Raw genomic sequence first — 21575 nt, 5'->3', positions numbered from 1 at the left:
TAGACTATACATCCACCTTTAGCCCTTCAAGCAGTGAAATAAGCTTAAAAATGATGTTTTCTGTTTACTATGCACTTTCTAAATGCCAGGCTCTTACTGGGCGCTAATACTTCATCTTCTTTATTACTCACGACCCTGTAACATAAATGCAGATACTTATCAGACATGTGCTAAATAGTCAACCTCTAGAGCCTGAAATTGAGCATGAGTCTGCCTTTCCCAAAGCCCATGCACTTTCCACCCTCAAATCGCATGTCCCTATTGGGGAAATCTATTTATGTTTTCAATTGGGGATATTTTTAAAGTTTTTTAAAAAGATCTTGGATCTAACTTCTGTTTCAGCGGAAACGGCACTATTGGAGATTGGATAGCAAATGTATTACCCTCTTTCAGAATGACACAGGAAGCAGGTACTACAAGGTAAGAGTGGGCTCTTTCTTTGTAGTTTCATACCTCTTATTGCTTTTTCATGGGAATGTAGAGTATAAGAAATAGGAAATACATCCAACAAACGTGGCTATTTTTGTGCTTCCTCCAGGAACTATTTTTTTTTTCTTCTCTATAGTCTACAAATTTCTTGGGATTCAGGTTGGGACCTCTTGATTCTTCTGTGAATTTTAAATTTCCCTGGGGAGTGTTTCTGGTACCATGGGATGATGGGAGAGGGAGGGAGGTGAAGATTAATTGAATATGTTAGCAGAGAAGTGTGATTTAACTAGAAAATTAATGGTCACAGCAGATCAGCTCAAAGTAAACTCCTGATATCCACTGCATCTAGCACACTGCTAGGAGTGAAGAAACATTGTATGATTTCTCCATGCTTGTCAATATTCACAAAGAGCACTTTCCTCTAGAGAAAAAAATGGCAGCAATTTTTATTCTGTCCCTCTACATTAAGTAATACAGATGTGGCATACTATATCACCCAGTAAAACACAACTCCAAAAAAAACTTCATAGAGAAAATAATAGATACTTGCTCCTTCAAAATGAATGCAGACTCTGGAATAGTTGATTTGATTCTCCACAGCCATTTTACATAGCTGTCACAGAAAATGGAAACCTCACTAATTTTAAAATTAAAACTTTGTTTTAAAAGTTATTATTTTTTAGCCCCTGCATACTTCCTGGAAGATGCAGTAGTGATTTCTTTTTTTTAGTATGAATTGCCTTAAAAATGATGACTATTGGCCAGGCGCAGTGGCTCATGCCTGTAATCCCAGCACTTTGGGAGGCCGAGGCAGGTGGATCATTTGAGGTCAGGAGTTCTAGACCAGCCTGGCCAACATGGTGAAACCTTGTCTTTACAAAAATACACAAATTAGCCAGTCGTGATGGGATGCACCTGTAATCTCAGCTACTCAGGATGCTGAGGCAGGAGAATCACCTTAATCTAGGAGGCGGAGTTTGCAGCGAGCCAGGATTGCACCAATGCACTCCAGCCTGAGCAACAGAATAAGTCTCTGTCTCAAAAATAAAAATAAATAAATAAAAGGCCAGGCGCAGTGGCTCACCCTTGTAATCCCAGGACTTTGGGACACCGAGGCAGGCAGCATGAGGTTAGGAGTTCAAGACCAGGCTGGCCAACATGTTGAAACCCTGTCTCTACTAAAAATACAAAAATTAGCCAGGTGTAGTGGCAGGTGCCTGTAATTCCAGCTACTTGGGAGGCTGAGGCAGGAGAATTGCTTGAAACTGGGAGATGGAGGTTGCAGTGAGCCGAGATCACGCCACTGCACTCCAGCGTAGGTGACGGAGCAAGATTCTTTCTTGGAAAAAAAAAAAAAAAGACCATTTTAAAACCAATCTCTAGTTGTCCTCACTTAAACTATTCACTTGGCTATGTTATTACATTAACATGTATTGAGTGCCTTAAAGAATAGGTTAAAATTTAAAAATAGCCATGTCTGCCTAAATGCATTTCAAAAGTGTTGTGATTCTACCTCACTGTTACAAAAATTATCGCTTATTTTCTAAGTCTTGGATTTTGGTGAAGATTCAAAATCATTTTTCCTAACCATACTGATTCTCGCCACATGAACATAGCATAAAAAGTCACATTTTCTAGAAAAAGGAAATAAGGTTTCCCATAGTAAAGGTATTTTTTTTAATTTTGCTTAGCAGTATTCTGTGTTTTATAGTTTAAAAGTATTTTATTTAAATGGTGGCTATTTGTGATGTCATTTTTCACATGTTCTTGGCATGAATTTTCTTTGAAAGTTTACATACTTTTGATAAACAACATTTAGTACTTTTTTTCTTTCACAGGAAATTCCTTTATCTGAAATTTTGTCTCTGGAACCAGTAAAAACTTCAGCTTTAATTCCTAATGGGGCCAATCCTCATTGTTTCGAAATCACTACGGCAAATGTAGTGTATTATGTGGGAGAAAATGTGGTCAATCCTTCCAGCCCATCACCAAATAACAGTGTTCTCACCAGTGGCGTTGGTGCAGATGTGGCCAGGATGTGGGAGATAGCCATCCAGCATGCCCTTATGCCCGTCATTCCCAAGGGCTCCTCCGTGGGTACAGGAACCAACTTGCACAGTGAGTCTGCCAGTTTTCTAACCAGCCCAAAGCTCATCATGTGCCTACCCCTTGCTTAGTAAACATGTGCCCTGCCCTTCCTAAGAACAGAATGAAGAAAGACTTCTTGGGGATGACTTAGTTTATTGTAGAATGTAGGGTGTCTAAATAAAAGCTGCTGCACATACTAAGATGTTTAGTTTGTTAAATTATCCTATTTTATTATAGCTATTTTATATTAAAATTTAACAAATTCAGGTAAACACTATGTATTAGGCAATTACAGACCTCTAGAGCTATTGGTTATAAAAGAAGAAGTAATCTGGCCGGGCTCAGTGGCTCACACCTCTAAACCCAGCTCTTAGGGAGGCCAAGGTAGGTGGAGGACTTGAGCCAAGAGTTCTAGTCCAGCCTGGGCAACATGGGGAAACCCTGTCTCTACAAAAAATACAAAAATTAGCCAGGCATAGTGTCATGCGCCTGTGGTCCCAGCTACTCTGGAGGCTGAGGCAGGAGAATTGCTTGAGCTCAGGAAGCATAGGTTGCAGTGAGCCAAGATCAAGCCACTGCATTCCTGCCTGGGCAAGAAAGAGGAGGAGGAGGGGGAGAAGGAGGAGGAGAAATCTAGCCAGCTTCAGCTTGACATGGAATGCAAGAGAAGAAGAAGAAAGGAGAAGGACATGAAGAGGAAGAGGAAGAGAAAGAGCAAGAAGAAAAAGAAGAGGGAGAAGAAGAAGAAGCAGAAGAAGAAGGAGAAGGAGAAGAAGAAGAAGAGGAGGAGGAAGAGGAAAAGGAAGAAGGAGAAGGAGAAGGAAGAAGGAAGAAGAAGAAATCTAGCCAGCTTCAGCTTGACATGGAATGCAAGTCTTGTTATTTGCAAATCTGAATTAATAAGTTTCCCTAAAAACACCTCACCTAGTATTCTGTGCAGGGTATTGACGTGCAGAGTACATGGTAATTGGTAATTCTTGATCACTTTATCCCAGGAAGAATTCTCTGTTCATTAGTAGAATGAGATACATTTGCTAAAATGCAACCTAGATTCAGTATTGAGGATAAATTTTAAAGAAGAAATTTTAGAGGAATATTTCTATAAAAAAGTCATTTATTTTTAAATTTCATAATAGTTACTCATAATGAAACCTATGAATTAACCTCTGGTTTTTTTACATTATAGTGTTATCCATTTATCTGTCATAATTTTTTAATTTATCTCTACAACGAAAATACATATTAATAGAATATATATGCCTATTTTAGTGCTAAGCACTTTATATGAGACCTCTATTTTAATGCCTAATCGAATTCCAACAGGTAGACTTTAACGATTTGCCTGTTTTACAACTTAAGAAATCAGTGTCTCTCGAGCGAGGTTAAGTTGTCTAAGCTTGTACCAAAGCTGTGAAGTAGCAAAGCCAGTATTTGAATCCAAGTCCTTCTGACTCCAAACCCTAAATTGATGAAATATTATTTTTCAAAAACAAGTATGTTGAATATGTAATTTTGAAAGGAAATAAATATTCTAATGACATTTTCTTAGAAAAACCTAATTGCTATGATTTAGTTAAAACCACTTTTGCAGGATGATTTGTAAGCATGTACTTACTTGTTTTGCTATTACATCTCTTACTGACTTTTTGTGTGCATATTGTTTTACATGCATTTCCAGGAGATATCTCTGTGAGTATTTCAGTATCAAATTGCCAGATTCAAGAAAATGTGGTAAGTATGTACCTACTAATATAAAACTTGCTAATGTGATTACTGGAAAATAAAAGCATCATAAAATAGTTTTTTTAATTCATTTTAATTTTTTAGTAAATTTTGGAAAGCAAAATAGAATTTGGATATTTTTTTGTGATATTTTAGAAATATTAAATTATATAGATTAGTAATTTTTCTATAATCAATTCTGTAATGTAGAGCCAAATATCTGTTTTTCTCAGCTAGGCAATTATAATGTGATGCCTGATTTCTCACATATTTGCCCTTCTTGGTACTGGAATTTTAATGGTTGATATTACACAGTAAAATAAATACATGAGCAAAATAAAATAAATTTCTCAATTTGCATGAGTAGCTTAAAAATGCCATTGTTCTCATTCCTTAGTTGCTACCTAGAAGTGCCATAATATGACAAGGAGTTGCAAATGCTCTTATAGTCACTTGTACACATCAAGGAGACTTTAAGAAAGTTGCATAAATCGAATCTTACGGGTTCTCATTTTAGCACCCTAGTCATCTGCGCCACGTAACTCCATCCTTGCAGCTCAGTTTTTGAAAATTGTAGATCAGACATATTATGAAATATTTTACAGTCCGTCAAATGTTTGCTTTATTTGTTATATTTTATCCCTATGGCAAGTAGCCAAAAAGTAATAAGGCCTTTTCTACCTCCTCCTGTGACCCAGACCCTTTTGTCTATTTTACCTGCTGTATCTATGGCCAAAAGAATGCAGTTTACAGCTTACACTTTCTAAAAATTTGTTTAAGAAAATTAACTTCATGAAACTCTATTCATCCTTATTATATTTCTGAAAACTACATTAAAGTGGCATAAAGTAAACAGCCAAATATGAATTTGAGAGAACTAGTTAAACTTCATAGTGAAGGTTAGATAAATTCTTGTGCTGTCAATCATGAGATAAATTCCTAAAGAAATTTCTTTTCTGCAGATTCCTATTGCCTTTGTTTAGCCAGAGACATTTCAGGAAATACAAGTTACTCTATAAGCCTCTTGGGAAATTCCTGATAGCTGTGGAATTGTTCCACTCTATTCAGCCACTGTTGTCCACTGAAGATTTTGGATCGGCCATTGAGTTATCGGAAAGCCTAAAGAACACTTCTCTTAACAGATGAAGTAGCTTGAAATCAGAATAATAGAATAGTATTAATATTACTTGTCTTGTCCCTAGACAGCGTTGAACTCATCCTGTGGGGACTTTGAAGAATCACAGGATGGATACAACTTGTAGTTATTTTCTAGGGGGAAGAACAAAGGAAAAAGATAAGGGTTTATAGGATATGGAGAGGGTGGGATTTGATATTAAAGGGCTTCTTTTTATTATACTTTAACTTCTGGGGTACATGTGCAGAACATGCAGAAGGAGTTTAAAAAAATAAAGTCAGAGTATAAGGGTAGAAGATAGTTGGAAAATCTGATAGGATGTAATAGGAATATATAAGGGAAAAAAGAATTACCTGGTGATTTCATCAGAATGAAATCACAGACAATAAAACATAGATTTAAAAGATGCTTTATTCAGCACTTATTATTTCAAAGAGAAAGAATTAGACTTTTGGAACTTGTTAGCTCCCGAAGTGATGAAATTGGACGAGTTTAGCTACTTCACAGATGAGAATTTCATATAGGTTGCCATCCTTCTGCAGCCTCTCCAGCTCACTCACAGTGATTCAGCCTCCTCTTCTGTCACTTTGGGTTCATCTGCATGTGGGTGACTAATAAGGGAGCAACCTTTTCATTCTAGCCATACAGGGAGAAGTGGTTGGAATCAGGATTCACACAGACATGTGGTTGGGAACCGTGATTATTTAATGACATTTCCAAATAGCCATCTCAACAGGCAAATATCTTTTTCAATACTTATAGTAAATCACATTGTATGGTTTTTAGTCATATTTCTTTCTAATGAAACATATGTGCTAGCACGTTAGAAAACCTCTGCCACTTAAGATCAGAACAGTTTTCGTAACATTACGTTATTACATTAATTAAAGAGTGTGCTTTGAGGCCGAGTGTGGTGGCTCATGCCTGTAATCCCAGCACCTTGGGAGGCCAAGGCAGGCGGATCACTAGGTCAGAAGTTCCAGACCAGCCTGACCAACATGGTGAAACCCCATCTCTACTAAAAATACAAAAATTAGCTGGGCGTGGTGGCGTGTGCCTGTAATCCCAACTACTCAGGAGGCTGAGGCAGGAGAATCTCTTGAACCTGGGAGGTGGAGGTTGCAGTGAGCCAAGATTGCGCCACTGCACTCCAGCCTGGGCAACAGAGCGAGACTCCATCTCAAAAAAAAAAAAAAGAGTGTGCTTTGAATATTACAGTCATCTCAGATTTCATCTAGCATTTATAATTTATTTTTAAAATACTTAGTTTATAATATATTTAATAGAATTATATTAATTTTTAGGACTAATGTTTTGTTCTGCTTCATGTTTTTTTTTCATTGGGCTTGTACCTCTAGGACATCAGCACAGTATATCAGATTTTTCCTGATGAAGTACTGGGTTCTGGACAGTTTGGAATTGTTTATGGAGGTAGGTTATCTCACTGAGTATTTTTATGAACTTAAAATTTTTGCTAGTTATATTTTAAAAAGCGATATTTACAGGAAAAACATAGAAGAGAAGACCTATGTGTATATATTTCTGTGTGTGTATCTTTTTGTGTTCTGCGTTTAAAAAATTTTTTTGAGATAGTTACTACTTGGAAAATTGGGATATGTGTGTTTTGAAAGAGAAGGTTTCATATTCCTGAAAAACATTTTTTCTTTAATATAGGCAAACTGTACACACAGTACTGAAGAAGTTTGGAATATCAGACAAAATATTGAGAAAACAAGGAAGTTGTGATTTGTAAACAAATTAATTCCATTTTCTTTTGGCGTACTTGATCAGAAGTCCATTCATGTTATTAGACAAAACAAAATTTAACTTTCCAGTGTCTTTAACAATATATTTGTTTCCTGAAGGTTTGAATTTTTTTTTAATTTTTGAGGTGAAATATCAAGTCTTTACCTATTTTCTTATTGTCAAGCTCTTTGGTAAGTTTATTATTCTAACTTCTGCTATTTTAGATTCCAGCCAGTTAAAGGGTATTTTTCAAGTCTTTAAAAAATATTTAATATTAATGCTTTACCTGCCCTGTAAAATGAACTCATAACTTTCAGTTCCTTAATATTATCAATAAGAAATTATTTCTTATGGTGAGGTTTAGTGTTCTGAAATAATCACAATGTCCCATTCAATTTTATTTATCACTATATGATATTGTACTTTTTAATTTAAAAAGTAATTAAGTTCTACTCTATTTCACAATGTAATGTTGAGTCTTATAAAATGCTCCAGTGATTTCTTTGATGAGAAACCTATCATGAGCCACTAACCATTGTACCGTTTGTTAATGCGTAACGGTATAATAGAGGGGACCAAATGTTTGATTACTGCTCTACAGTATAATAGTTGCATGCAAAAAAAAATTATGGTAGATAGATCATGGTAAATATACATAATGCACATCGTATAGGGGTGAGACAAGGGTGACAAATGAGAGTAGAGAGACCAGCAGATGCCAGATAATTTGGAACATCCAACACTGAAGACCAGGAATAGGAGGAGGCTGCCACCTGGAAGACTGAAACGTTAAGATTAGACACAAATGGAGTAAAGTAGATGAGAAGAGTCTCAGAAGAGAGGTCAAGTACTACAGTGACGGAGGAGTAGAGATGAAAGAAGTCATGGCCTTGAAAAAAGTACTTGCAGGAAAATGGCTAAGTTGAAATAGAGACTGCAGTCAATCAAACAGTAAGAAATGATGTTAAGGAAGTAGAGAACATGAACACAAGCTGATTTGATAGTGAAGGGAAGCAGTCTGGAAAGAGAAGGAATAGTGAGAGTGGGATATAAGGTGAGTGAACACTAGCTTTACAAGTGTTGGAAGACTGGAATTTCAAGTTAGTTTGTATGTTACCAAAAAGTTTGAGTAATTAGATCCATTTTCCATTTCTATTTTCTGATTCATTTTCATTTATTATTTTCAGATTCAATTAACACTGCTACATTTTTGTACCTACCACAATATAGTAGTGTAGAAGTTAAGAACTTGGGGGTGCTCCGTAGAATTCCTGAAAAGTTTGTTATAGTAGTTAAATGAGGTGTAATATACATAAAGGGCCTATTATATGGTGATGATGATGATAACTAACCATTTTTGAGTGTGCATAGTTACCAGGGTATTTTGTATACTTTACATGCCTCCTTTCATCCAATCTTCTCCTCATTGTAGATGAGGAACCTAAAATTCAGAAAGAGTGAGTGATTTGCTCAAGATCACAGAGCTAATAAGTGACAGAGCCAAGACTTTAATTCTTTCCCCTATAACATACATTATCTTATCAGGACTTTAAAATTATACTTTCTAAAGGGGAGTTAATTTGGTGGTGATACAAATATTTTCTATACTAAGTAACTCAATATTCTGTTTCTAAAACATATATTTTATGAAAAAAACAGGGTGTTGATACGTATAGCTTTTAATGCCCCAATTCTTTTGCGTTCTAAATTATGGCTATTTTTAAAGCACATATTTGATTTAGAATAATGAAATCTTTATATATATATATGTAAGTCAGTGCTCTTTAGAAATGTTAATTTATTCAGTGAAATATGTTTATCATTTCTTTAAATGTCCTTGCAAATTTTAGTGTTCTTTAAGATAGATGATATTTAATAACTTACTAATGCTTCCCTTTTTCATTTTAAAGGAAAACATCGTAAAACAGGAAGAGATGTAGCTATTAAAATCATTGACAAATTACGATTTCCAACAAAACAAGAAAGCCAGCTTCGTAATGAGGTTGCAATTCTACAGGTACTTCTTTGGTTCTCATTTGGGGAAAGGGTATAAAAATCCCTCATCCTTTACTTCTGCAAAGCAAATAAATTTTCTCTAAAAACCTGTGGCATAAATATTTTGGAACACTTTAAAATAATTGAAATGGCAGATCAAGTATCAGAACTTGCCTCAATAGTATCTTTCCTGAGTCTAGGCAGCAGTTGTTCTTTTTTATGTATTTAATTGTAGGTTTTAATATATAATTAATATTCATTAAATGGGTAATATTTCAGCATTTGCTCATAGTGGACATGCTGAGACCATTTTATTTTATATTACAAATGACCTTGCCTTCATAAACATGCCTTTATGCTGTGATAATAACATGAATTGGGTATGTAACTGTCAGCATATCAGTCACGGGAGTGAGCTATGTCTGAGAAGCAGATCATGTTGATTTTATTAATGTCCTCTTTGTCTCTCACTGTAAGCCTTTCATTTGACATCGGGCATTGTCACTTAACTTCTCTTATTAATAACAGTCCCTTTTTCAAACCAGAATTTGATAATAAAATGTATTATGTGATAAAGGTAATTTTTGAAACCATTAAAATTTTTTTGCAGACCAAAGGGAAATAGAGCAGTTATTTGCTAAATGTAGTCATCATGGCTATCTAGTCTACTCAGTTGAGATCATTGATAAATTCCGATTTTTATATACCTGCCATAATTTTTTACTTCTCATGCAAGCATGTCATAATTTTTAATTCCCAGTTTTAACGGACAATTTTTTTTCGCAAAACGGAACATTTCATTTCTTCATTTATAGTTTCATTTAACTGCCATTTATTGAGTTTCATATGATAAAAACCTGAAAAAGATATGAATTCTGTCCTAAGGGAGCTCATGTGCACAGACAGCCACAAATATTGCCTGCTAAACATAGAAAAATAACATAGACTTTTCTGGGACTCAGAATTTCTAAAGATGATGTTTTTGTGTCTCTGGACAACTAATGGAGCACAGAGGACTCACAATGCTCTCTGCTTACATGGGGAAGAAAACAACCATGGATGTGAAGATACTAATTAATGGATTCATGTCTTAGTATCTGCTAATCAGTTACAAACAACTGGCAACATTGAGGTGCAGATGACATCTGAAACTCTAGTAAATGACATCTTTCCTAACCTGGCCCTTGCACTTCCAGTCTCCACGCACTGTGGTCTTCTGAAGGAAGATACTTTTGCAGGGAAGGAATACAGAGTTAGCATGCGTACAGGAGATATTTATTCTTCATTATAGGATTGGAGAAGAGAGCTTCATGGTTAACATGGTTACATCTTTCTATATTTTACTGCAATTGCAGAAAACTGACTAGATATTGGGGTTCTAATTTTCTGTGTCTAGGCCTTTTAATTGGCTTTCCCCAAGTCTGTCAACACAGTATCAGCTACTGACTCGAGAGGTAGAAAAATAAAATAAGGCCGGCCGAGATGGCTCACGCCTGTAATCCTAGCATTTTGGTAGGCGGAGGAGGGCGGATCACCTGAGGTCGGGAGTTTGAGACCAGCCTGGCCATCATGGTGAAACCCCATCTCTACTAAAAATACAAAAATTAGCCGGGTGTGGTGGCAGGTGCCTGTAGTCCCGGCTACTCTGAAGGCTGAGGTAGGAGAATCACTTGAACCTGGGAGGCGAGGTTGCAGTGAGCCAAGATCGTGCCATTGCCCTCCAGCCTGGGCAACAGAGTGAGATTCCTAAAAAAAAAAAAAATAATAAAAACAGAAGGAAGGAAAGAAGGAAGGAAGGAAGGAAGGGAGAAAAATACACCTGAAGTATAAACTACCTCCCTATTCCTCTTCTAAAACAGAGGTCCTCAGTCCCCAGGCCGTGGACCTGTACCTGTACGTGGCCTGTTAGGAACTGGGCCGAACAACAGGAGGTGTGCGGTGGGCCAGAAAGCATTATCTTCTGTGTTCCGCCTCCTTAAGAACAGCAGCAGCATTAGATTGTCATAGGAGTGCAAACCCTATTGTGAACTGCACAAGAGAAGGATCTTCTGGTTGTGCACTCCTTATGAGAATTAAATGCCCGCCCCCTCCATGCTCCCATGGAAAAACTGTCTTCCACTAAACCTGTCCCTGTTGCCAAAAAGGTTGGGGACCACGGCTCTAAAATATTAGATGCAGACAACTCAGATGCAATAAATATACATTTGGAAAATCCTTCATCATAATAAGGTTTTCTAAAGAGTTTGGTTAGGTTGAAAGTCCAGTTCTGCTCCTGGACCATATGAAAAGGTCAGACATCTCTGATAGCCTGAAATCTCAAACATCTCCATTACTTATACTCAATCCCACTGCCCCTAATCATTCTTTGCCTCATTCATCAAACTAGTATTTATTGAGTACATATTATGAGCCAAACACTGTTCTAGGTTCAGTAGATACAGCACAGACAAAGGCACACAGCTCTTTGCTGTCATGGGTCTTTAAATTATATCACTCAGCTATGCTCAGTTATGCTGAGTTGGATATTTGCAACATATTTATGTACCGAATTTTCAATCACATAACCTGTACAATGGGTCATGTCTAGGCTTGGTTTAATCATATACAGATAATAGGTTCAGTAGTTCATACTTTATTATAAAACTGCCAATTATTTTAAAATATGTTCATCAAGAATAGGAAACTAATCATGTCCCCCAAATGAAAATGAACCAAAAAAGAAGGAAAGGAAAGGAAAGGAAGAAAGAGAGGGAAAGAAATAAAGAGAGAAAGAGAGAGAGAGAAAGAGAGGGAGAGAGAGAAAGAAAGAAACCCTTTTTATTATTATTATTATTATACTTTAAGTTTTAGGGTACACGTGCATAATGTGCAGGTTAGTTACATATGTATACATGTGCCATGCTGGTGTGCTGCACCCATTAACTCATCATTTAGCATTAGGTATATCTCCTAATGCTATCCCTCCCCCCTCCCCCCATCCCACAACAGTCCCCAGAGTGTGATGTTCCCCTTCCTGTGTCCATGTGTTCTCATTGTTCAATTCCCACCTATGAGTGAGAGCATGCAGTGTTTGTTTTTTTTTGTCCTTGCGATAGTTTACTGAGAATGATGATTTCCAATTTCATCCATGTCCCTACAAAGGACATGAACTCATCATTTTTATGGCTGCATAGTATTCTAGTCATAGTATGGCTGTGGTGTATCTGTGCCACATTTCCTTAATCCAGTCTATCATTGTTGGACATTTGGGTTGGTTCCAAGTCTTTGCTATTGTGAATAGTGCCGCAATAAACATACATGTGCATGTGTCTTTATAGCAGCATGATTTATAGTCCTTTGGTTATACACCCAGTAATGGGATGGCTGGGTCAAATGGTATTTCTACTTCTAGATCCCTGAGGAATCGCCACACTGACTTCCACAGTGGTTGAACTAGTTTACAGTCCCACCAACAGTGTGAAAGTGTTCCTATTTCTCCACATCCTCTCCAGCAGCTGTTGTTTCCTGACTTTTTAATGATTGCCATTCTAACTGGTGTGAGATGGTATCTCATTGTGGTTTTGATTTGCATTTCTCTGATGGCCAGTGATGATGAGCATTTTTTCATGTGTTTTTTGGCTGCATAAATGTCTTCTTTTGAGAAGTGTCTGTTCATGTCCTTCGCCCACTTTTTGATGGGGTTGTTTGTTTTTTTCTTGTAAATTTGTTTGAGTTCATTGTAGATTCTGGATATTAGCCCTTTGTCAGATGAATAGGTTGCGAAAATTTTCTCCCATTTTGTAGGTTGCCTGTTCACTCTGATGGTAGTTTCGTTTGCTGTGCAGAAGCTCTTGAGTTTAATTATATCCCATTTGTCAATTTTGGCTTTTGTTGCCATTGCTTTTTGGTGTTTTAGATATGAAGTCCTTGCTCATGCCTATGTCCTGAATGGTAATGCCTAGGTTTTCTTCTAGGGTTTTTATGGTTTTAGGTCTAACGTTTAAGTCTTTAATCCATCTTGAATTAATTTTTGTATAAGGTGTAAGGAAGGGATCCAGTTTCAGCTTTCTACATATGGCTAGCCAGTTTTCCCAGCACCATTTATTAAATAGGGAATCCTTTCCCCATTGCTTGTTTTTCTCAGGTTTGTCAAAGATCAGACAGTTGTAGATATGCGGCGTCATTTCTGAGGGCTCTGTTCTGTTCCATTGATCTATGTCTCTGTTTTGGTACCAGTACCATGCTGTTTTGGTTACTGTAGCCTTGTAGTATAGTTTGAAGTCAGGTAGTGTGATGCCTCCAGCTTTGTTCTTTTGGCTTAGGATTGACTTGGTGATGCAGGCTGAAAGAAACCCTTTTGAAGTCCTTTTTACCATTGTCAGATACATTAGTCTCTCAGTAAAAATAGTAATTCAGTATCCTGAGACAGTGAAGTTAAGCTCACCTACTTTGAGTCCTTGCTCAAATATCACTCTCTACAGATACATGAGCACTACTCTAACACCCTATTTAAAATTGCAGTCCAAACCCCCTTCTCCATACTTCTCTTACCCTGATCTGTTTTGTTTTCTGTAGCAGTTATCACTTTCTAACCTACTATAGAATTGTATTTATTATATTTGTTGCAAGTTCCTCTCACCACTCTCAACCTTGGCTCTACCACTAGAATACACACTTCAGGGGGACAGTTAACATTGATTTGTTTACTAATGTATCCCCACTGCCAGAAATTGTTCCTGGCATATATTAGCTGCTAAATAAATTTTTGTTGAATTAATTAATTAAAGTTGTACAGAAACACCATCTTATAAGGTGACATCCATAGTATCCAACCAGGTAGCAAAAGGCTGGTTAGTTAGTTAAAAAGGATTATGTGTGTTTGCTCTGCAAAAACCCTCATTGTGTCATTTTATATTTATTATTAAAACTAGAGCTCACCATCTTGAACCTGAAGAGACAAAATAGTAATGGGGATGGCAGTGGGGTTGGCTTGCAACTCACTAACTCTCATCTGTTAAAAAAAAAAAGTACCGTGATTGAAGTCAATTGAATGGAGAGGAAGATTTTCTTTTACTAATCTTGAGAAATAAAATTCTATTCCTCTGCATATAAAAGCAATATCCAGAAGCATTTGGTATCTTCTACTTTGTGGTCCTCTAGCTTATAGAAGCTGGTGCCCTAGTAGGGCCTAACAAGTTTTGCCCTCCCCCTTCCTCCTCCTCATTCTCCAGAGGGGACCATGTGGGTTGAAATGCCAATGGGGCAAAATCCTCCTCAGTCAGCTCTGCTAGGTCCTCAGATCAAATTTTGATTTGTTTCTGTTCTTGGGAAAAAGCACCTGAGCTGATAGAAGACTTCAAAGTTGTGTAAATAGGGAATGTGAGAAAAGGTACAGCTCTCCTTTTTTTTTTTTCCATTTCATTTTCTCTATATAACTTAGGTGGAGGCTTTCCAAGATCTGATTTAATCATCAAAACACTAAGCTCTTTAGATATTTTTGAATAATTGAAGTTAAGGCAAGTCTAAGTCTTATGGCATATCATTTACATCTCATGCCATTTGGAATAGCTCTATTTTCATTATCTGTAAATACTTCACTATTATTATGTTTCAGACGGGTGTTAGTTAATGTAGATATTGGCCAGGTGTGCTGGCTCATGCCTGGAATCCCAGCACGTTGTGTGGCTGAGGCAGCCGGATCACCTGAGGTCAGGAGTTAGAGAACAGCCTGGCCAACACGGTGAAACCCCATGTCTACTAAAAATACAAAAATTAGCTGGGTGTGGTGGTGCACATCTGTAGTCCCAGCTACTCAGGAAGCTGAGGCAGGAGAGTCACTTGAACCCTCCAGGAGGCAGAGGTTGCAGTGAGGAGAGATCATACCACTGCACTCCAGCCTGGATGACAGAGTGAGACTCATCTCAAAAAAAAAAAAATGAATGTAGATATTAAGCTTATTTCATAAAATTTCCATCATCCCATGTATATTGTTTTTGAATTTTCTGTTATTCATGTCAAGATAAAAATAAAAGGATGTTTTGTGATTATTAAGGATATCACAGAAAACTGACCTTCATAAGGACATGCAAATATATCTTCGAGCACCTAAAAGCTTTTTTGTTTTTTGGGAGAAGGGGTCTTACTCTGTTACCTCATTGGAATGCAGTGGCGTGATCACAGCTCGCTGCAGCCTTGACCCAGGTTCAAGCAATCCTCCCACCTCAGCCTCTTGATGAGCTGGAACTACAGGCATGCCCCACCAAGCTTGGCTAACTTTTTTTTTTATTTTTGGTAGAGATGGAGCCTCTCTATGTTACCCAGACTGGCCTTGAACTTCTGAACTTAAGTCATCCTCCCACCTCAGCCTCCCCAAATGCTGGGATTACAGGCATGAGACACTGCACCAGGCCAGTTAGAAGGTTAAAATCTAAAGCAAATAACACTAGTATGATATATTTAATGTATTTTATAATTTAAATCAACAGACTTGTTCAGCCAAAACTAATTTTTATTTTCTAACTTTAGAATATCACAGTGCATATAAAGGTTAAGAAAAATATGTGTACATATAATTCTAATGGATTCACTAATATTTTTCTCCTTTTCTTGTATTGCAACTTTCATTTATCGATACTAGAACAATACTAGAGCTCCTATTTATAATAAATGAAAGCATTTTGGAATTTTAAAAGCACTGAATATAGAATACAGAATATAGAAAAAATGAATTTTATGGGTCATAAATTATTCTCCTGTATTTATCTCATAAAATTACCTCTACTTTTCTGGTTTATATTCTCTTCTCATCCAAGTCTGTCTTCATTTAAAAACAGAACAATGGCTGGGCACAGTAGCTCACACCTATAATCCCAGCTCACACCTATAATCCCTCTCAAAGTGGAAGGATCAGTTGAGGCTAAAAGTTAGAGACAAGCCTAGAGGTAACTCACAACTCACAATAGGAAAGATACAGAATCAACCTAAATGGTGAAAAATGGTAGACTGGATAAAGAACATGTGGTACATAAAGACCATGGAATACTATACAGCCATAAAAAAGGGAAATCATGTCTTTGCAGCAACATGGATAGAGCTGGAGGCCATTTTCCTAGGCAAACTAACACAGGAACAGGAAACAAAATACTGCATGTTCTCACTTATAAGTGAGAACTAAATAGTGAGTACATGTGGACACAAAGAAGGAAACAATAGATACTAGGTCCTACTTGAGGGAGGAGTATGGGAAGAGGGTGAGGTTTGAAAAACTACCTGTTGAGTACTAATGCTTATTATCTGGATAATGAAACCAAGTGTATACCAAACCCCTACAACACTCAATTCAACTATATAACAAACCCTATGTAACATGTATCTCTGAACCTAAAAGAAAATATTTTAAAAAGGTGTGAAATATTCACATAGTATTTTTGGTACTCAAATTCAAGGGAAGAAAAGAGATCCCCCTCTAGAACCTCCAGAAAGCCACACAGCCCTGCCAACCCTTTGCTTTTAGTCCAGTAAGACCCGTGTTTGTTTTCTAATCCCCAGACTGTAAGGTAATAAATCTGTATTGTTTAATAAAAAATTAAGTCGGTTGGTAGTGTGCACCTGTAGTCTCAGCTACTTGGGTGGCTGAGGCAGGAGGATCACTTGAGCCTGGGAATTCAAGGCTGCAGTGAGCTATGATCACACAACTGCACTCCAGCCTGTGCAACAGAGTGAGACCCTGTCTCTTGGAAAAAAAAAAACCATAAACGATAACAACAAAATGTGGTCTTGATTTATCTAGGCTGCGTCTCATAGCTATAGTCAAATCTCTCCCACACTTCAAATTTGTGCTCTGCTCCTCTTTCATTTCTTGTTTATAAATTTCCCTCTTGTCATTGGTTTCTACACCTTTCTTAAAGAAAATACATGGCAATACATGGCTTTTTTTTTTTTTTTTTTTTTTGGCCATACTCTTGATTTCTAAGGCTCACTTGTTCCTTTTTAAATCTCTCTTCTCACTTCATCCCTGTACTTACAAGATCCAATTTTTCCTTCCTTGCTAGCTCCTCTATCTTCCTAAACGTTTCCCTCCATTTATCTAAAGGATTTACGCACATTTGAAGCTCATTTCCAGAGCGAGGTCATCCATTTTGAGAGAGTCACCTGTCATCTCTTAGGCCATTGCTTAATACAGCTCTTGAAGTCCAGCCTTCCACAGGCACTTCAGTCTCACATTTCCATCCTTAGGACATCTCCACTTTGCTGTACTGCCCTCACCCGAAACCAATCAGCCTAAAGCCAAACACGTAACCCTAATGTTTTTCCCCACAAGATACTCTCTCCCTTTGTGTATTTTGCTATCATTCTTTCAATTTCTTAGGCAAGAACTCTTCCTTCAATTAATGAAAATATTAAGTCATTCGACAGTACCTGTGAAGCCCTTCATTCCTTTATACAAAGTGATTTGCTGAGCCTTTGGGCCGTATAAACATGAATAAAACCCTTTAAGATGTTCATACTCTATTTGGGCAGTCAGATACAAGTAGTTAGAAGTCAGAATCGCTGTGGAAGCACAGTGGAGGAAGTCATGGATTACCACAGATTCCAGAGCGTTGGAATCAGGGAGAGCTTCGAAGAGAAGCCCGGCATTGGCAAAACCTGGGAAGATTCATAAGCTTTTCATAGCCAGAGAAACAGTGGAAAGGGCCATTAGGCCGAGCAACCACCTCAGCAACATAAACAGGTTTTAAAAGCTGAGCAGCAAACTTTGGATTATTTTAAAAGAGTGATCTTCAAACATTTTTCTTCATTTGAACTCAAAAAGAATTCTGAAGCTTTGTACCTCCTTGTGTATTTTTAAGTTGGTATCTAGCACTATTTTGTCAAAAATTGTTTTAATTTTTCTAGTGGATGGAAAATATTGGTATTTGACAATAAAGCTGTCATATCACTCCTTTAAATGTACCCATTAGAATATAAATATTATAGACATTCGATACCCTTTATTAACTATTCTTTTAAATACATGAATAGGCTTTTCTTTAACAACAGTACATTTTGCAACATTCCTTGTTTTCCTTGAGCCTATTCCACTTTCCCTACAGAATTATATTTCAATGTAATGTGTTTTTATACTTTAAAGTCTTTTCTTGCTCTACCTTTCATAATTCTTTGCAATAAAAATATGTGTATATTGGCTGGGTATAGTGGCTCGGGCCTGTAATCCAAGCACTTTGGGAGGCCGAGGCGGGCAGACTGCCTGAGCTCAGTAGTTCAAGACCAGCCTGGGCAACATGGCGAAACCCTGTCTCTACTAAAAATACAAAAAAAAAAAAAAAAAAAAAAAAAAATTAGCTGGGCATGGTGCCCCATGCCTGTAGTCCCACCTACACAGGAGGTTGAAGCACGAGAACCTTGGAGGCAGAGGTTGCAGTGAGCCGAGATCGTGCCAGTTGACTCCAGCCTGGGTGACAAAGTGAGACTCTGTCTCAAAAAAAAAAATATATGTGTATATTTTTAAATTTCTTGATGGCAACATTTTAAATGTCTAAAATATTCTCCATGACTAATTTATTATTATAACTGTTGTCACTTATTACTTATATAACTATATAGATATTATTCAGTAAGATAAATATTCTGTAAATCTTTATGCTTGTATAACAAAAATTAAAATATTACTGGAAATACATTATTTAATGAAATCGAATTAAATTTAGTTCATAAATTGGTGAGTGAATATTACTTATTACTCAAGTGAGACAGGGCTCAGAAATAATTTTATTCCTTTTTTTAAAATGTAGGAGCTGAGTTGTAAACAAAAAGAAAAATCTCAGTGATTTATATTTATCTTCAGTAGTTCATTTTTATTCTCCCTCTGTTTATAAATCCATTAAATCCTTCTTTATTATTGTTGAAAGCACGAATTAGAAAGTAAGTTGCAAAAGAATTGATTTCCAATTCAATGGGGTCATTCACTTTATACCAACACAGTATTTCAAATTTTCCCATTATTGTTCTCCCCATGGAAGAAAGTATTTTTCTCCCCATGGCAAAGCACCCTAGTAATATTTGGAATGTATGACATCCATGCCTTCCTTTTAGAAAATTGGAGAAAAATCATCATGAAAGCAAACTTGGGGATGGAAAATTTTCAGACCACAGGATATTCTTAGACAGATCTGTGTTAGAAGAGTATGTGTGGACTGTTAGGATTCATTCATGCATTCATTCATTCAAAGTATAATTATTGAATGCCCAGCATGTTCCACATAGTAGGGATACAAATGTAAACAAAATAGATTTTCTTAAAACCATCTCTGTGCTCACATATCTCATAAAAAATCTTTTTGCTCTCCAAGAGTATGCCTTCCTTAGATTGGAGACTGCTTTAGTGGGACAAAGCCTGCGATAAGACCAGGAAATGGGCTTACTGTGGGTTCATGGAGAACCTTTGATATGTTACCAAGTCAGTTGGATTTTATTGTGCCTGGGCAATGATGAATTATTGAAAAGTTTTCAAAAAGAAATTGCTATGATCAGATCAGCATTTTGGGTTTATGTATTACACAGAAGAAAGTTTAAAGGCAAGAAAAATTTTTAAGTGGAGTGGGGCTGAACATGCCTTAGCATAATGCCTGGCCCCTGGAAGGCACTCAGTAAATATTTGTTGAATGAAATATGTAGCCACAACTGAAGAAACCAGAGGATACAGATTTGCAGGGCATGGCAATAAGGGAATAAAGCATTTCTTACCATCATTTTTTTTTGTTTAAAAGACATAGTAACTTGTCTTCATGGAACAAGATTAAATATTTATCTTCTGGATGATCAGGAGTAAGTAGAGAGGAGATAATTATGACAGAAAACCAGAGAATAATGTTGCTAAGTGTGCACAAGAAAATGAAAATTTTTGGAAACTGGAGACTTCTTTTTAAATCACAAATAAGTCAATTATTTCTCTAGAGGAAAACGTGCAAAATGTGGGTGCTTTCTCTTTCAGTGTGTATTGAGATGTTGGCTTATATTTTTGTTGTTTCATCTAATATGTACTATATTTCTTCAAATATTTCTTTCCTTGCATTATATTACATGAAGAATTTTTTTTTTGAGACAGAGTCTCGCTCTGTCACCCAGGCTGGAGTGCAGTGGCATGATCTTGGCTCACTGCAAGCTCCACCTCCCGAGTTCACGCCATTCTCCTGCCTCAGCCTCCCGAGTAGCTGGGACTACAGGCACCCACCAGCAAGCCCGGCTAATTTTTTGTATTTTTAGTAGAGACGGGGTTTCACCTTGTTAGCCAGGATGGTCTCGATCTCCTGACCTCGTGATCCACCCGCCTAGGCCTCCCAAAGTGCTGGGTTTACAGGCGTGAGCCACCGTGCCCGCCCTACATGAATTTTTATGAAACTATTTCTATAGGCAAGACATGTTTTGGAGCTCTAAGGAAATCGTACTGTCTTTTGCATGTTCCAAAATAAACTGTATAGGTTATGTATATATGTCTAAAATAGGGAAAACAACTATCTATTATAAGAAAAAGAAAATTAATTTAGAAAATTTTCCAAATAGATATTCTGTCAGAAGTTAAATCATCGTAAAAAGTTAGTGTCAAAAGGCTAGGTTTCAAGTAAAAATTTTCCATTTTTTAGTAAATCTCTTTCCACCCTGGTTTCCTTAACTGTGCATTAGAAATCATGCTGACTTGGTCTATTTCCTTCATAGGAGTGTTTTGGGGACTAAATTAACTCCTATATAAAGCATTTTAAAAATCATTATTTCCCAGCATATTTTTCAAAGAACGCTAGTCTTTTGAACCCCTTCACAGAAGAGGTGAAAACACATTTTTTCATCAAGAAAATTTGGAAAATGTTGTGTATGTACTGTATCCAGGTCACTCACGTCTTAGAAGTAAACATAGCCTTTTACTTATTAACAATTCTGAGAAATCCCATAATTGAAAACTTGTTTAATTTTAAGAATATGTTAGTTAAACTCATTTTGCCACAGAACCTTATACAGATGTAAGGTATTACCATTTGACTTTTTGCACATGATATTCTGTCATCTAACCTTGTCCAGTAGACCCTACATGCTCACTTTAGTTACCATTATCTGGTATATAATACATCCGAAGGATTATGTGTCTGCACACATTATTTAGCATATCATGGAATGTTATGCTTTTTGGTGTGCTGACATCTAAATATAGAAGCTGTACTACAGTAATAGGATTTGTCAAAAATTACACTTAAAATCTAATGCCAAGCCTAGATTGGATTTTTGTGTTACTGTTTCCAGCCAGGTAGATTAACAGGAAATAAAAAGTTTTCCATATGTCTTCATTTCCAGACATTTGATGCCAAGTAGAAGAAAAATCCAGATATTTGCTCCATTTTTCAATTTTTATAAACCATTAAACAGCTTCATGTAGATTCCAGCGTTTGTTTTTTTTTTTTTTGGTAATAATTCACACTTTTAATATTCTCTTTCT

At 36.7% G+C, this 21575-nt stretch overlaps 1 protein-coding gene across 7 annotated transcripts in view; it reads left to right on the top strand.

Annotated features, from left to right (window-relative positions):
* The window catches only part of PRKD1 (protein kinase D1), a 351369-nt gene that overhangs the window by 294559 nt on the left and 35235 nt on the right, over positions 1-21575 (top strand). For all 7 annotated transcript variants that reach the window (XR_943493.3, NM_002742.3, NM_001330069.2 and 4 more), the window contains 5 exons: positions 343-420; positions 2268-2547; positions 4196-4248; positions 6733-6805; positions 9031-9137. Coding sequence is in view for 6 of the 7 variants with exons in the window: in NM_002742.3 (NP_002733.2) it covers positions 343-420; positions 2268-2547; positions 4196-4248; positions 6733-6805; positions 9031-9137 (591 nt within the window). In the remaining variant the exon portion in view is untranslated. The remainder of the gene's footprint in view (positions 1-342; positions 421-2267; positions 2548-4195; positions 4249-6732; positions 6806-9030; positions 9138-21575) is intronic.

This window comes from Homo sapiens, chromosome 14 (assembly GCF_000001405.40).
Source record: "Homo sapiens chromosome 14, GRCh38.p14 Primary Assembly".
Taxonomy (NCBI): domain Eukaryota; kingdom Metazoa; phylum Chordata; class Mammalia; order Primates; family Hominidae; genus Homo; species Homo sapiens.
The sequence above is the reverse complement of the archived record's forward strand: the minus strand, read 5'-3'. Positions and strand labels throughout refer to the sequence as shown.